General features: G+C 49.7%; 1 protein-coding gene across 7 annotated transcripts in view, besides 2 other annotated features; it reads left to right on the forward strand.

Moving 5' to 3' along the window:
- ADAMTS14 (ADAM metallopeptidase with thrombospondin type 1 motif 14) overlaps positions 1 to 6,640 on the forward strand; it is an 89,936-nt gene extending 83,296 nt beyond the window's left edge. For 6 of the 7 annotated variants that reach the window (NM_139155.3, XM_011539300.3, NM_080722.4 and 3 more), the window contains 3 exons: positions 2,161 to 2,290; positions 2,374 to 2,484; positions 4,559 to 6,640. In NM_139155.3, coding sequence (NP_631894.2) covers positions 2,161 to 2,290; positions 2,374 to 2,484; positions 4,559 to 5,052 — 735 coding nt within the window. In that variant the 3' untranslated portion in view covers positions 5,053 to 6,640. Of the gene's footprint in view, positions 1 to 2,160; positions 2,291 to 2,373; positions 2,485 to 4,558 lie in introns of those variants that run through there. The other variant, XM_011539308.3, reaches the window with a different exon arrangement.
- Positions 834 to 1,793: an enhancer, noted in NCBI's record as "H3K27ac-H3K4me1 hESC enhancer chr10:72516391-72517350 (GRCh37/hg19 assembly coordinates)". NCBI's record gives its function as "activates a minimal SCP1, AML or CMV promoter by ChIP-STARR-seq in primed H9 embryonic stem cells {active_cell/tissue: H9 hESC(primed)}" and the evidence as "EXISTENCE:reporter gene assay evidence [ECO:0000049][PMID:30033119]".
- Positions 5,985 to 6,754: an enhancer, noted in NCBI's record as "H3K27ac-H3K4me1 hESC enhancer chr10:72521542-72522311 (GRCh37/hg19 assembly coordinates)". NCBI's record gives its function as "activates a minimal SCP1, AML or CMV promoter by ChIP-STARR-seq in naive H9 embryonic stem cells {active_cell/tissue: H9 hESC(naive)}" and the evidence as "EXISTENCE:reporter gene assay evidence [ECO:0000049][PMID:30033119]".

Consider the following 14,200-nt stretch of genomic DNA (forward strand, 5'->3'; position numbering starts at 1 on the left):
TCACGCCATTGTATTCCAGCCTGGGCGACAAGAGCGAAACTTTGTCTCAAAAAAAGAAAAAATTAGTTAAGATGGCAAACTTTATGTTATATAGATATTACCCCAATTTAAAAAACCTCATTTGATCACAATGCTGTTTATTGCAACAGCAAAACATTAGGACGTATCTCAAATGTTTATCTATAGAAGATTGGACAAAAATCATGGTCTGTTCATATAATACAGTACTATACAACAAGAAAAATGAACAGGCCTGAACTGTACTTACCAAAATAGATAAACTTCTGTTATAGAGAATACATTTAGGTGAGAAAAAGTACTTCAGTATGAAGTAAAAAAGCACTTCCAATGGATGTCATTTCCTTAATGTTTAGAGGGACACAACACAATCTGAAAATATTCTGGGATGCTCATTTATTAAGGCTGGTGGTGGCATCTGGATAGGGTTTTGTGAATAACTCCATACTTTTCTGTATTTTGAAATATTGCATTATGAATATTTGTAAAGAACCAAAAATCCACACACAACTCATGCATTTTATATGTCTCCATAATATATAGCTTCATTTGTTTTGATATAAAACAGATTGCTGGTCTTCAAAGGACCCCACAGATAAAAGTAACAGAGAGATGGCAGATAGTGGAAGATACTGGCCCTGTCGCAATAAGCAAAATATAGAGATGAATCTCTAAATTTAACTTTTATTAAGTAAGAATTGCAATTCAAGGCATACACAGAGACCGGGTGGTCTTCAGTATGTCCAAAGAACAAAGGAAAGGTTGGGGGTTTTATTAGAAAGAGACATGATATGTATTGTGTTGAACACCAACTCATTGGCACTAGACAAGCTTTTGGGAGCTGGCAAGCTCTGACTGGTGAGTGATGGTGCTATGGAAAACTAGCCGTGGAGTCACAGCAGGTTGTTTCAGCAGCTGCTAGGTAAAACTGGTCTTGGAATTACATCAGCCTGTTTCAGCAGCTGGCCCAGTGGAGAATTTAATTCTTGGAGCAGGTGCTAGGTGCCCTGAGTGCTTTTTCCCCTGGTCCCTCAACTCTGATTTAGTTGGGTGTGACAAGTATGACCCTATTCATATAATCAACTTTCACAGCCCCTTATGAGACTGACTGAGCAGTCAGGAGCTGTTAGCTGCTGTTTGTAATGATTCATCCTGGGAGGATATGCCGTGTTTGTCTCGTAGTTCTGTGTGGCCCCATGACCCTTGTGTCTCAGTGGTCACATGCTCCAGTGTGGGAAGTGGGGTCCTGCAAATTCCTCTCCTTCCAGCTAGATAAGGCTGTGGTCAGCATCTAAAAGGTGACCCAGTCACACTGGGCAACGCTGCTTTCCTGGAGTCCCTGCCCCTCCATTGAGGACCTCCACATTCCCTGTTTGTCAGAGTTAGAGTGGGTCAGGTCCAGGGGACGATGTGTGTGGCCACCCCCTGCAAACGGTGGTCCTCGGTCCTCTGGTGCCTCCTGCTCCTTGTACCCGCACCCTGCTCCATCAGGGAAGAAGACACTTTTGAACATACTTCTGCAGGCCCATGTTTGGTAAATCAAGTCACAAGATTATTGACTATCAGAGCTAGTCAGAGGAGGGTCCATGGAGACCCTGTCGCCCAGCTCTCTGTTTACAGAGTAAGACACTGAACCAGGGGTGGGGGGTAGCAGAAGCCACAATCCAGGCCCCTATATCCTGTTAATAGGATATCATCACATCAATCCACCTGCCCAGGTCACACCATGTAGTGGATTGCAACAGGGGAGTTTGCTAGAGTGATACACAAAATATTAAAGAACCCAGGCACAGACCAGACACAGTGCATGCAGGTGGTAGTAGGGAATGGGGTCCCAGAGGTTCCCTCCTGAGCCAGAGATTAACCGTTTAGATTGTGGAAAGGCCCATGGAGTTCTAGGCTCAGGGCAATGGCTCTTCACCATTGGTATCAGGACTATTTGGCAACAGGTACAGTGTCCCACTGAGGCTCCTTAGAAGCAGTCCTTGCATGTCCCTCTGGTCAAGTGAAGACTTGGTGCTCTCCTTTGTACCCTTTCTGTCCCCGGGCACTGGCTGGGCTCTGAGCTCACTGACTCGTCTTTCTTCTCTCCACCTACCCTGACCCCGGCCGCTATGCCTGGCACTGACCCACCCACGGCAGTGCTCTGCCACCTGTGGAGAGGGCATCCAGCAGCGGCAGGTGGTGTGCAGGACCAACGCCAACAGCCTCGGGCATTGCGAGGGGGATAGGCCAGACACTGTCCAGGTCTGCAGCCTGCCCGCCTGTGGAGGTGAGCCAGAGGGGATGGGGAGGCCAGGTCCAGTCCCTTGGGCCAAAGTCCCAAATACTAGAATTGCTTCTTCCTGCTCACAGGAAATCACCAGAACTCCACGGTGAGGGCCGATGTCTGGGAACTTGGGACGCCAGAGGGGCAGTGGGTGCCACAATCTGAACCCCTACATCCCATTAACAAGATATCATCAAGTAAGTACAGTCTATGGACCCTACCCTGCTCCCCAGACCTTTCAGTGGCCCTGGTGTTGCAGCATGGGCCACTCAGTGGAGCAAACCCAGCTTGTAGCTGTCTGTGTGACCTTCACCTCCCTGAGCCTCAGATACCTCAGTTATGAAGTGGGGAGGAGGCTCTACTGGTCCATGAGCCGTTACCTGCAATTCCAAAATGTTTATTTCTAAGTTTGGTGCAAACTTACCTGGCAGCAAAATCTGACCTGAACTAATGAGATCATTTATTCTTTTGATATAGAAATTTAGCCATATTTAGTTACAAGGTGATATCTCAGGCTCCATTGAGGATGTTCTATAATATAAACACAGAATATAATGTTTCTGATCCCAAAAGTTCTGAATTCTGAACTATATCTGGTTCCAATATTTTCAGACAAGCAATTGTAGATATGAGCTGCCTTCATAGGGCTGGTGAGATAATTGGATGAGAGAATGCATGCACTCCTGTCTGGCTGTCAGCTTCCAGTAACAATAGGCCTAGCAATTTCTCTCAGCCCCATGATTCAGTTCATCCTCCCATCTTTCCATTCATCCACCCACGGATAGATATTTACTGAGCAACTGCTACGTGCCAGGCTGTAGATTCTTCACTCCTTTCCTAGGTTCCATCTCTCTTTTCCTTCCTCACCCTCCCTAGGACCAGGGTCTGGCAAGATGAGTAGCAGAAAGATCAAAGACCCTAACTCCTAGTTAGAGGACCAGTTGGCTGCAAATTCGTTAACCTCTCTGAGCTTAGTGACCTCATCTGTAAGATAAGGTTCTGACTAGATGTCCTCAAAGGACCTTCTACCTCCAATCTTCTACTTCTCTGCTCCTAGGCTGAGGTTCTGACTGGGGGAGTGCCTGGGTTTCCTGCCGTCTTCCTTCCCAAAGCAAAGGACGATTCCGATTCTGGTTCCAGAAATCTGGCGCCATCTAGAGGCCACTGGCTTTCCATTTTTCTCTGATCTTTCTCTTGTTCCCCTAAGCCTGCCCCTCCACCTGTGTCTCTCTTTCCCTCTGTCCCTCCCACTCTTCCCACCTCCCTCTTTCTCTCTCTCTCTCTGGCAAAAATTAGTAGAAAGCAAAGCTCCTGCCTTCACATTCTGTCTGGAGAAGCCTACATGGAGTTATCACAGAAAGGTGTGATATTTTGGGCAAAGCAAACTAGTGTAATGAGCACTTATCTTTGCCAGGTGCTTTAAAGATGTTGTTTGCAATGTTATTATTCACTGGTAAGGGTCAACATCAGCCCCATTTTATAGGTGAAGCAACTGAGGCTTGGAGGGTTTAAGTGACTTGCCAAAGGCCTCACACTTTTAAGTGGTAGAGCCTGGATTTGAACTGAAATCTGCTTGATTCCAAATTAAGCAGTAGCAGTCTTAATGTCCCGATGTGTGCTGACTGTGGCAGGATGGTCAGTCTGCCTGTCCCAAGCATGAGTTGCCTGGGGTCTAGCCTGACCCTGGCTGGAGTGGGGCCAGACTCCTTGGGTTGATTGGGAGGGGCTAGGGTTCCCACTTCCATCCAGAGCAGCTGCAAGTTAGAAGCACCTGGTGGTAGGTCACACCCTAGATTGTCCAGTGTGTGGGTGAAGGAGACAGGCACCCCCAAGGATTCCAGTGTGCAGCAGGGCTGAGGGCGAATGGCGAAGGGCCAGGGTTCTCAGATGCGCCCACACGTGGAGTCCCCTGGAGGGCTTGTGAAAGCACAGCGCTGAGCCCCAGCCTGAGTTTCTGATGCAATAGGGCTGGGTGGTGCTGGAGGATGTGCATTGCCAGCAAGCTTCCAGGTGACGCTGCTGCTGCTGCGTGTGGGGACATCACTTTGAGATCTGCTGCTCTAGGGGATTTTACTTCCTCTTCCATGTAGTCAGGGCTGACTCTCCCGTCAGGTGGCTCTGTAGCCCCCACCCTGAGAAAAAGCTTTATAGTGGGTCCAGCAGGGGCAGGGGTGGAGGGCGGGCAGTCAGTGGGTAAGTGGGAGGGGGGGCCACCTGACTGACAGGCATCCCCACGTTGCTTCCATCCTTGTCCTTGTGCTGTGTGTGCAGCGGAGCCCTGCACGGGAGACAGGTCTGTCTTCTGCCAGATGGAAGTGCTCGATCGCTACTGCTCCATTCCCGGCTACCACCGGCTCTGCTGTGTGTCCTGCATCAAGAAGGCCTCGGGCCCCAACCCTGGCCCAGACCCTGGCCCAACCTCACTGCCCCCCTTCTCCACTCCTGGAAGCCCCTTACCAGGACCCCAGGACCCTGCAGATGCTGCAGAGCCTCCTGGAAAGCCAACGGGATCAGAGGACCATCAGCATGGCCGAGCCACACAGCTCCCAGGAGCTCTGGATACAAGCTCCCCAGGGACCCAGCATCCCTTTGCCCCTGAGACACCAATCCCTGGAGCATCCTGGAGCATCTCCCCTACCACCCCCGGGGGGCTGCCTTGGGGCTGGACTCAGACACCTACGCCAGTCCCTGAGGACAAAGGGCAACCTGGAGAAGACCTGAGACATCCCGGCACCAGCCTCCCTGCTGCCTCCCCGGTGACATGAGCTGTGCCCTGCCATCCCACTGGCACGTTTACACTCTGTGTACTGCCCCGTGACTCCCAGCTCAGAGGACACACATAGCAGGGCAGGCGCAAGCACAGACTTCATTTTAAATCATTCGCCTTCTTCTCGTTTGGGGCTGTGATGCTCTTTACCCCACAAAGCGGGGTGGGAGGAAGACAAAGATCAGGGAAAGCCCTAATCGGAGATACCTCAGCAAGCTGCCCCCGGCGGGACTGACCCTCTCAGGGCCCCTGTTGGTCTCCCCTGCCAAGACCAGGGTCAACTATTGCTCCCTCCTCACAGACCCTGGGCCTGGGCAGGTCTGAATCCCGGCTGGTCTGTAGCTAGAAGCTGTCAGGGCTGCCTGCCTTCCCGGAACTGTGAGGACCCCTGTGGAGGCCCTGCATATTTGGCCCCTCTCCCCAGAAAGGCAAAGCAGGGCCAGGGTAGGTGGGGGACTGTTCACAGCCAGGCCGAGAGGAGGGGGGCCTGGGAATGTGGCATGAGGCTTCCCAGCTGCAGGGCTGGAGGGGGTGGAACACAAGGTGATCGCAGGCCCAGCTCCTGGAAGCCAAGAGCTCCATGCAGTTCCACCAGCTGAGGCCAGGCAGCAGAGGCCAGTTTGTCTTTGCTGGCCAGAAGATGGTGCTCATGGCCATACTCTGGCCTTGCAGATGTCACTAGTGTTACTTCTAGTGACTCCAGATTACAGACTGGCCCCCCAATCTCACCCCAGCCCACCAGAGAAGGGGGCTCAGGACACCCTGGACCCCAAGTCCTCAGCATCCAGGGATTTCCAAACTGGCGCTCACTCCCTGACTCCACCAGGATGGCAACTTCAATTATCACTCTCAGCCTGGAAGGGGACTCTGTGGGACACAGAGGGAACACGATTTCTCAGGCTGTCCCTTCAATCATTGCCCTTCTCCGAAGATCGCTCCTGCTGGAGTCGGACATCTTCATCTTCTACCTGGCTCAAGCTGGGCCAGAGTGTGTGGTTCTCCCAGGGGTGGTTGGACCCCAGGACTGAGGACCAGAGTCCACTCATAGCCTGGCCCTGGAGATGACAAGGGCCACCCAGGCCAAGTGCCCCAGGGCAGGGTGCCAGCCCCTGGCCTGGTGCTGGAGTGGGGAAGACACACTCACCCACGGTGCTGTAAGGGCCTGAGCTGTGCTCAGCTGCCGGCCATGCTACCTCCAAGGGACAGGTAACAGTCTTAGATCCTCTGGCTCTCAGGAAGTGGCAGGGGGTCCCAGGACACCTCCGGGGTCTTGGAGGATGTCTCCTAAACTCCTGCCAGGTGATAGAGGTGCTTCTCACTTCTTCCTTCCCCAAGGCAAAGGGGCTGTTCTGAGCCAGCCTGGAGGAACATGAGTAGTGGGCCCCTGGCCTGCAACCCCTTTGGAGAGTGGAGGTCCTGGGGGGCTCCCCGCCCTCCCCCTGTTGCCCTCCCCTCCCTGGGATGCTGGGGCACACGCGGAGTCATTCCTGTGAGAACCAGCCTGGCCTGTGTTAAACTCTTGTGCCTTGGAAATCCAGATCTTTAAAATTTTATGTATTTATTAACATCGCCATTGGACCCCAAAAGGTTGTGTGTGTGTTTCTTTTTCTCTCTCTGATTTATGGGAAGGGGACAATGAAGCCAGAGCTCGAAGGTTGAGGGCTGGGCTGTAGCAAGAGAACTGGGGGTGGGGGCGCAGCTCACTGTGGCTGTCTCCTGTCCCTCCACCTTTCCACCCATGCCCTGCTGCGTCACTGCCAGGTGGGACACAGGGTTGCCACTGGTTTCTTGGCTACTGAATCTCCTGTTTCCCTGAGGCCCAAGTTCCAGGACAACACTTTATTTCAGGTTATTGTGAAATTCTCAACCTGTTTAAATGCAACTAGAGGCCAGTGGGGCAGAGTGGCTCATGCCTGTAATCCCAGCACTTTTGGAGGTGGGAGTTCCAGACCAGCCTGAGCAACATAGCAAGATCCCGTCTCAACAAAAAATAAAAAGAACATTAGCCAGGCGTGGTGTTGCACGCCTGTGGTCTCAGCTATTTAGGAGGTGGAAGTGAGAGGATCCCTTGAGCCCAGGAGTTTGAGGCCACACTGAGCTGTGATTGCGCCATGGCACTCCAGCCTGGGTGACAGAGCATGACCCTGTCTCAAAAACAAAAAAGAACAACAAGAGGGGCTCTCTAAAGGAATCTTAGCAACCACAGAACAAAGAGACTGTCACTGAAAGCAAAATGACTGCAACCACTTTTGCCTTCTAAGCAGTGGCAGAATTTGTGTCATGGAGTAAAAGAATCTACACTGCTGGGCACTTAGAAAAGGTGAAGCTGGCAAAAGGGCTTCTTGTCATTGTGCAGAGCTCACTCCTCCCCTTAAGGCCGAGGAGAAAATGGTTTGGAGACTCCTACCCCCGTGGGGGTGGGAACACAGAGAGGGCAGCCTCTCCATCTGTCTTTGGCTGGGGGCTTTTTAGGATGCAGGTTGTCTAATATGTCTAAGGTTCAATTAAATTTCTGTTGCCATCTCCCCAAACATCTGGAAATGTCCACTCTCCAAATTGAGGGCTTTTTATGGGTCAGGATTTTTGCTTGTTTTGGTGGAAACTGAGAAAATGAAAGGATTCACGGGTGAAGATAGAGGAACAGCACCAAGGGCCCTCTTTCCATCGCAGCCTCAGAAACATCCCTCACTTCCTGTAGGAGCCCAGTGGGAAAGGCCATATGGGAATGGTCTCACCTCTTCCTGCCCTAAACGGTTTCCTGTTTGGAGTCTGGTGGGTGCAGGTGCCAGGGTGCCAGATTGCCTGTCTCTTCCCTGGAGGGGATTCTCCAGGCCACTCTGACTTCAAGGCTTTATCCACACCTGCCCCATGCTTGGCAGAGCCCTGCCGCAGTGACAGCCAGGTGCCCAGAGTCTAGCCTATCAGCCCCGACTGGCTTCCAGAGCCTTTGCCCTGGTCTGCCAAGCTTCCTCAACCCATAGCCAGGGGCCAGCACACCTGTCATTTTGGAGGAAGCCCCCTGAAGTTCCAGCATCTCCTTGCCCTTGGGGTCAGTAGGGACAGTGCTGCACAGAGTCACCCTTAGCCTCCTGTTCAAAGAGCCTGGGAAGTCCTCACCATGGCTGTCTTCTGTGTCCAGATGGCCTCCTTGAGGTTCCAGCCTGTGACTTCATTTGGGCTAGTAAGGCCTGAAAGCTCCTGGTGGAGAAGGGATCGGGGGGATGGCAAGGGTTTAGGGACAGCAGGAGACTTACCTTCCCATTCCTCCAGAGGAGAAAAGGGGCAATTGGAGCCTCATCATGTTCCTGGGCAATAGACTGGCCTCTGGGCCCTTTTTTGATTTACCCTCCTGGTGAAACTCCAGGCCTTCCACCTGAAATGACACAGCAGGCAGGGGAAGAGGGGAAGGCACAGAGCCTGGGCCATCTGACCTGGAACTCTGTGGGCTCTTCCAAAGAGCCCCTGCTCCCTACCTGGCTTCAGGAGACTGAAGGCTTGGGGGAAGGTAGGGGTCTGGGGGGAGGAGGGAAAGAGCAAGAAGGGGTGGAAATGTAGCTGGGGCAGTCCCAGGGACCCAGCTGCCACAGATTAGAAATCTCTGGGGCCTACACCACAAATCTTCTCCTTTAAAAAATTATGCAAGAAATATATGCTCATTATTGAAAAATTTTACAACCTGAGGAAAAAAAATCTATAATTCTACTTAGCAATAACCACTGTTAATAATTTAGTTATCCATTCCAGATGTGTGCATGTGCAAGATTGTTTGTGTCTGTACACACACACATGCACGCTGGGTGAGTATTATTAATACTATACACATACACGTCATCTGGGATCTTCTCCCCCTCCTACTCCACCTACAGCAATACAATAAGAACACGTTTCCATCCTGAGCTACGTTGAACTACGTATTTTTTTTTTTTTGACAGAGTTTCGTTCTTGTTGCCCAGGCTGGAGTGCAATGGTGCGATCTCGGCTCACTGCAACCTCTGCCTCCCAGGTTCAAGTGATTCTCCTGCCTCAGCCTCCCGAGTAGCTGGGATTACAGGCATGCACCGCCACTCCTGGCTAATTTTGGATTTTTAGTAAAGATGGGGTTTCTCCATGTTGGTTAGGCTGGTCTTGAACTCCCAACCTCAGGTGATCTGCCTGCCTCAGCCTCCCAAAGTGCTGGGATTATAGGCATGAGCCACCGTGCCCAGCCACGTCTTCATTTTTAATGACTGCACAGTACCCCACGGTATGGCTAGATGACCATTTATTTAACCAAATCCCCCAGTACCATAAACTTCCTGTACAGCCTGTGGAACCATGAGCCAACTAAACCTCTTTTATTTATGAATTACCCAGTCTCAGGTAGTTCTTTGTAGCAATGTGAGAATGGACTAATACAGAAAATTGGTACCAGAGAAATGAGGCATTGCTATAAAGATAACTGAAAATGTGGAAGCGACTTTGGAAGTAGGTAACAGGAAGAGGCTGGAACAGATTGAAGGGATCAGAAGAAGACTGGAAGAGGTGAGAATGTTTGGAACTTCCTAGAGATTTGTTGAATGTTGTGAACAAAATGCTGATAGTGATATGGACAGTGAATTCCAGGCTGAGGAGGTCTCAGTTGGAGATGAGAAATTTATTGAGAACTGTAGTAAAAGTCACTCTTGCTATGCTTTAGCAAAGAGACAGGGAGTATTGTGCCCCTGCTCTAGAAATCTGTGGAACTTTGAATTTGAGAGAGATGATTTAGGGTATCTGGTGGAGGAAATTTCTAAGCAGCAGTGTTCCAGAGGTGTCCTAGCTACTTCTAACAGCATGTACTCATATGCGTTCACCAATACATGGTCTGAAATTGGAACTTACATTTAAAAGGAAAGCAGAGCATAGCAGTTTAAAACATTTGTAGCCTGACCATGTGGCAGAAAGACCCATTTTCTTGGGAAAAATTCAAGCCAGCTGTAGAAATTTGCATAAGTAGAGGAGCCAAATGTTAATAGCCAAGACAATGGTGAAGATGTGTCGAGGGAGTTTCAGAGGTCTTCATGGCAGCCCCTCCCATCACAGGCCTGGAGGCCTAGGAGGGAAAATGGTTTCATGGGCTAGGCCAAGGGCCCCACTGTCTTGCTCAGCCTCAGGACATGGCACCCTGAGTCCCAGTCGCTCCAGCTCCAGCCATGACTAAGGTCCCCAAATACGTCTCAGGCTGCTGCTCCAGTGGGTGCAAGCCATAAGAAGCCTTGGTGGCTTTCATGTGGTATTGGCCCTGCAGGTGCACGGAGGGCAAGAGTTGAGGCTTGGGAGTCTCTGCCTAGATTTAAGAGGATGTATGGAAATGCCTGGATGTCCAGGCAGAAGTCTGCTGCAGGGGCAGAGCCCTCATGGATAACCTCTACTAGGGCAGTGCAGAAGGGAAATGTGGGGTTGGAGTCCCCACACAGAGTCCTTACTGGGGCACTGCCTAGTGGAGCTGTGAGAAGAGTGCGCCGTCCTCCAGACCCCAGAATGGTAGATCCACTAACAGCTTGCACCACGCTCCTGGAAAAGCTGCAGGCACTCAATGCCGGCCTGTGAAAGCAGCCAAGTGTGCTGTAACTGGCAGAGCCACAGTGGTGGACCTGCCCAATGCCTTAGAAGCCCACTTCTTGTCTCAGTGTAGCCTAAATGTGAGACATGGAGTCAAAGGAGATTATTTTGGAGCTCTAAGATTTAATGACTGCCCTTCTGGGCTTCAGACTTGCATGGGGGCCTGTAGCCTCTTTGTTTTGACCAATTTCTCCCATTTGGAATGGAAGCATTTACCCACTGCCTGTACTTCCATTGTATCTTGGAAGTAACTAACTTGCTTTTGATTTTACAGGCTCATAGGTGGAAGGGACTTGCTTAGTCTCAGGTGAGACTTTGGACTTTTGAGTTAATGCTGGAATAAGTTAAGGCTTTGAGGGACTGTTGGGAAGACATGACTGTGTTTTGAAATGTGAAAAGGACATGAGATTTGGGAGGGGCCAGGGGTGGAATGATATGGTTTGGATTTGTGTCCCCACCCAAATCTCATGTTGAATTGTATTCCTCAATGTTGGAGGAGGGACCTGGTGGGAAGTGATTGGATCATGAAGGCAGATTTCCCCCTTGCTATTCTCATGATAGTGAGTTCTCATGATCCAGTTGTTTGAAACTGTGTAGCATCTCCCCTTTCACTCTCTTTCCTGCCATGCTGTGAAGACATGCTTGCTTCCCCTTCACCCTTCTGCCATGATTGTAAGTTTCCTAAGCCATGCCTTCTGTATAGCCTCTGGAACCATGAGTCAATGAAACCTCTTTTCTTTATAAATTACCCAGTCTCGGGTAGTTCTTTATAGCAGTGTGAGAATGGATTAATACATACATTTATTTAAGCAAAAAGAGAAAGGTAAATTTAAATAAACATTAAGGAAGCGTATAGGTGGTAGATACTTCTAACAAGGCTGGGTGTAGTGGCTCACACCTGTAATCCTAGCGCTTTGGGAGGTGGAGGTGGGCAGATCACTTGAGCCCAGAAGTTCAAGACCAGCCTGGGCAACACAGGGAGACCCTGTCTCTACACAAAAATGCAAAAATTAGCCAGGCATGGTGGCATGTGCCTGTAGTCCCAGCTACTGAGGAGGCTGAGGTGGGAGAATTGCTTGAGTCCAGGAGTTTGAGACTGCAGTGAGCTGCACTCCAACCTGGGCCACAGAGTGGAACATGTCTCAAAAAAGAAAGAAAGAGAGAAAGAAAGAAAGAGAGAAAGAAAGAAAGAAAGAAAGAAAGAAAGAAAGAAAGAAAGAAAGAAAGAAAGAGAGAGAAAGAAAAAACCAGGTATACCAAAATTCATGATGGGGTGTGGGAATGGCTCAAGTTTAGAAACCAAGGGCTCTTGTCAGTCACTCAGAGCCAGGACCTGTAGTTTGGTGAATCTGGATTTCAATTCTGAAACCTCTGCTTACCAGCTATATGACCTTAGATTATTGTGGATCCTTTTCATCACATGTGACACAAAAATCAACTGCTTTTGTGCATTCATTCTCATAGCAGCATTATTCACAATAGACAAAAAGTGGAAACAACCCAAGTGTCCATTGATGGATGAATGGATAAACGTTAGGTGGTATATTCATACAAGAGACTGTCATTTGGCTAAAAAAGGAAGGAAATTGGCTGGGCATGGTGGCTCACGCCTGTAACCCCAGCACTTTGGGAGGCTGAGGTGGGCAGATCACCTGAGGTTAGGAGTTCAAGATCAGCCTGACTAACATGGTGAAACCCTGTCTCTACTAAAAATACAAAATTAGCCCGGCATGGTGGCGCATGCCTGTAATACCAGCTACTCGGGAGGCTCAGGCAGGAGAATTGCTTGAACCTGGGAGACAGAGGTGGCAGTGAGCCAAGATCACGCATTGCACTCCAGCCTGGGCAACAACAGTGAAACTCTGTCAAAAAAAAAAAAAAAAAAAAAAAAAAAGGAGGGAAATTCTAACATATACTGCAGGATGGCTGAATAGTGAGGACATTATGCTAAGTGAAATCAGCCAGTCACAGAAGGACAAATACTGTATGATTCTACTTAAGTGAGGTACCTAGAGCAGTCAATACCATAGAGACAGAGCATAAAATGGTGTTGCCAGGAACTGGGAGAGGAGAGAATGGGGAGTTATTGTTTAATGGGCATAGAGTGTTAGCTTTGCAAGATGAAAAGAATTCTGTGGACAGATGGGAGTGATGGTGGCACAGCGATGTGAATCTACTTAATGCCACTGAACTGTGTATTTTAAAATGGTTAAGGTGGTAAATTTTATGTAGAAAAATATACATAAAAATCAACTATTGGATGGGCAAGGAATTTTATTGCCTCACACATGGAGAAGGGTGGGGAAGAATCAGGAGCCTCAGGTGTGACTGTATCCAGGGCTTTGTCCCCATGGAACAATGATGGAATTCTCTGATACTCCAACCTTCCTTCCCCCGAAAAAACATTTCCAAGGACAGAATGTGATTGGCCCAGCTTGGGTTACATGCTTATCCTACCCCTAACCAGTCCTGTTGATACAGGAGGTAGAAATTATTTAGGCAGATAGTGAGGGTAAAAGAGTCCCCAGCAGAGCTTCCCTTTTAACAAAAAACAGCCCAATAATTATTTTTTTCTAACAAAGAGTAGCCTGAAAAATCGAGCTGCAAGCACAGATAAACAAGCTGGAAGCTTGTAACGGGGAATGATGGCAGCTGTGCCAATAGAAAAGGGCTACCTGGGAGCCAGGCATGTCCAACATGGAGGCTCCATCTTCCCTTTTTTTTGTTATCATGTGTACAGTAAAGGAATGGGCAACCTGGCGCAGGCCAGGCAGAGGCCTGCATAATAAAAGATTAGGGTGAGGGTGGCCAGAAATTCTCACCCTGTGCAAATGGCACACCTAGTCCTAACCAGTTTTTCGTGCCCTATGCAAAGGCACACCTGCTCCAACCAATCTTTCCCACTCTATGTAAGTCAGACACCGCCTCCTCAACCTCATCTATAAAACCACCTGCATTTCACCATGGAACCAGCAACCCATTTCTCTGGGACGACTGTCTGCAGCAGAGAGCTCTTCTCTTTCTTTCACCTATTAAAACTTCCACTCTTAACCTCACTCTTTGTGTGTCTGTGTCCTTGATTTCCTTGGCTGTGAGACAATAAACCTTAGGTATCACCCTAGACAATGAGGCTGCTTCACTATGTGAAGGGATGGGGGGCTTTGGTTGGACAGTGCTAGGTTTCACATTCCTGGATAGCCAAGAACAAGGGCTACCTCCATGGCTAAGGAGACTGAGTCCCAGGAAGGACCTAGAGCCTTCAGAGAAAAGATGAAAGGGAAAATCTGTCTCCATGCTTCAGGGAGAGAAGCAGGGGAAAGGGAGAAGAGAACTTCCAGGGCCTGGAGACAGAGAAAATTTAGGAGTGACCAGGAAGTGGCCATGGCATCCTGACCCCCATGAGAAATCACTCGGATACCCAAGAGGACAGGGAGCACCTTGGGGAGCAGGGCCTAGAGACTCTCCTGAACATGGCCGCATCATTCTTACATGCGCTGCTGCTGGGGAGACAACCCCAGTGGAAGAGGGGCGAGGGCCTTTAAAAACAAGGTGGCTTAATGTTGAAC

Source organism: Homo sapiens, chromosome 10 (genome assembly GCF_000001405.40).
Source record: "Homo sapiens chromosome 10, GRCh38.p14 Primary Assembly".
Taxonomy (NCBI): domain Eukaryota; kingdom Metazoa; phylum Chordata; class Mammalia; order Primates; family Hominidae; genus Homo; species Homo sapiens.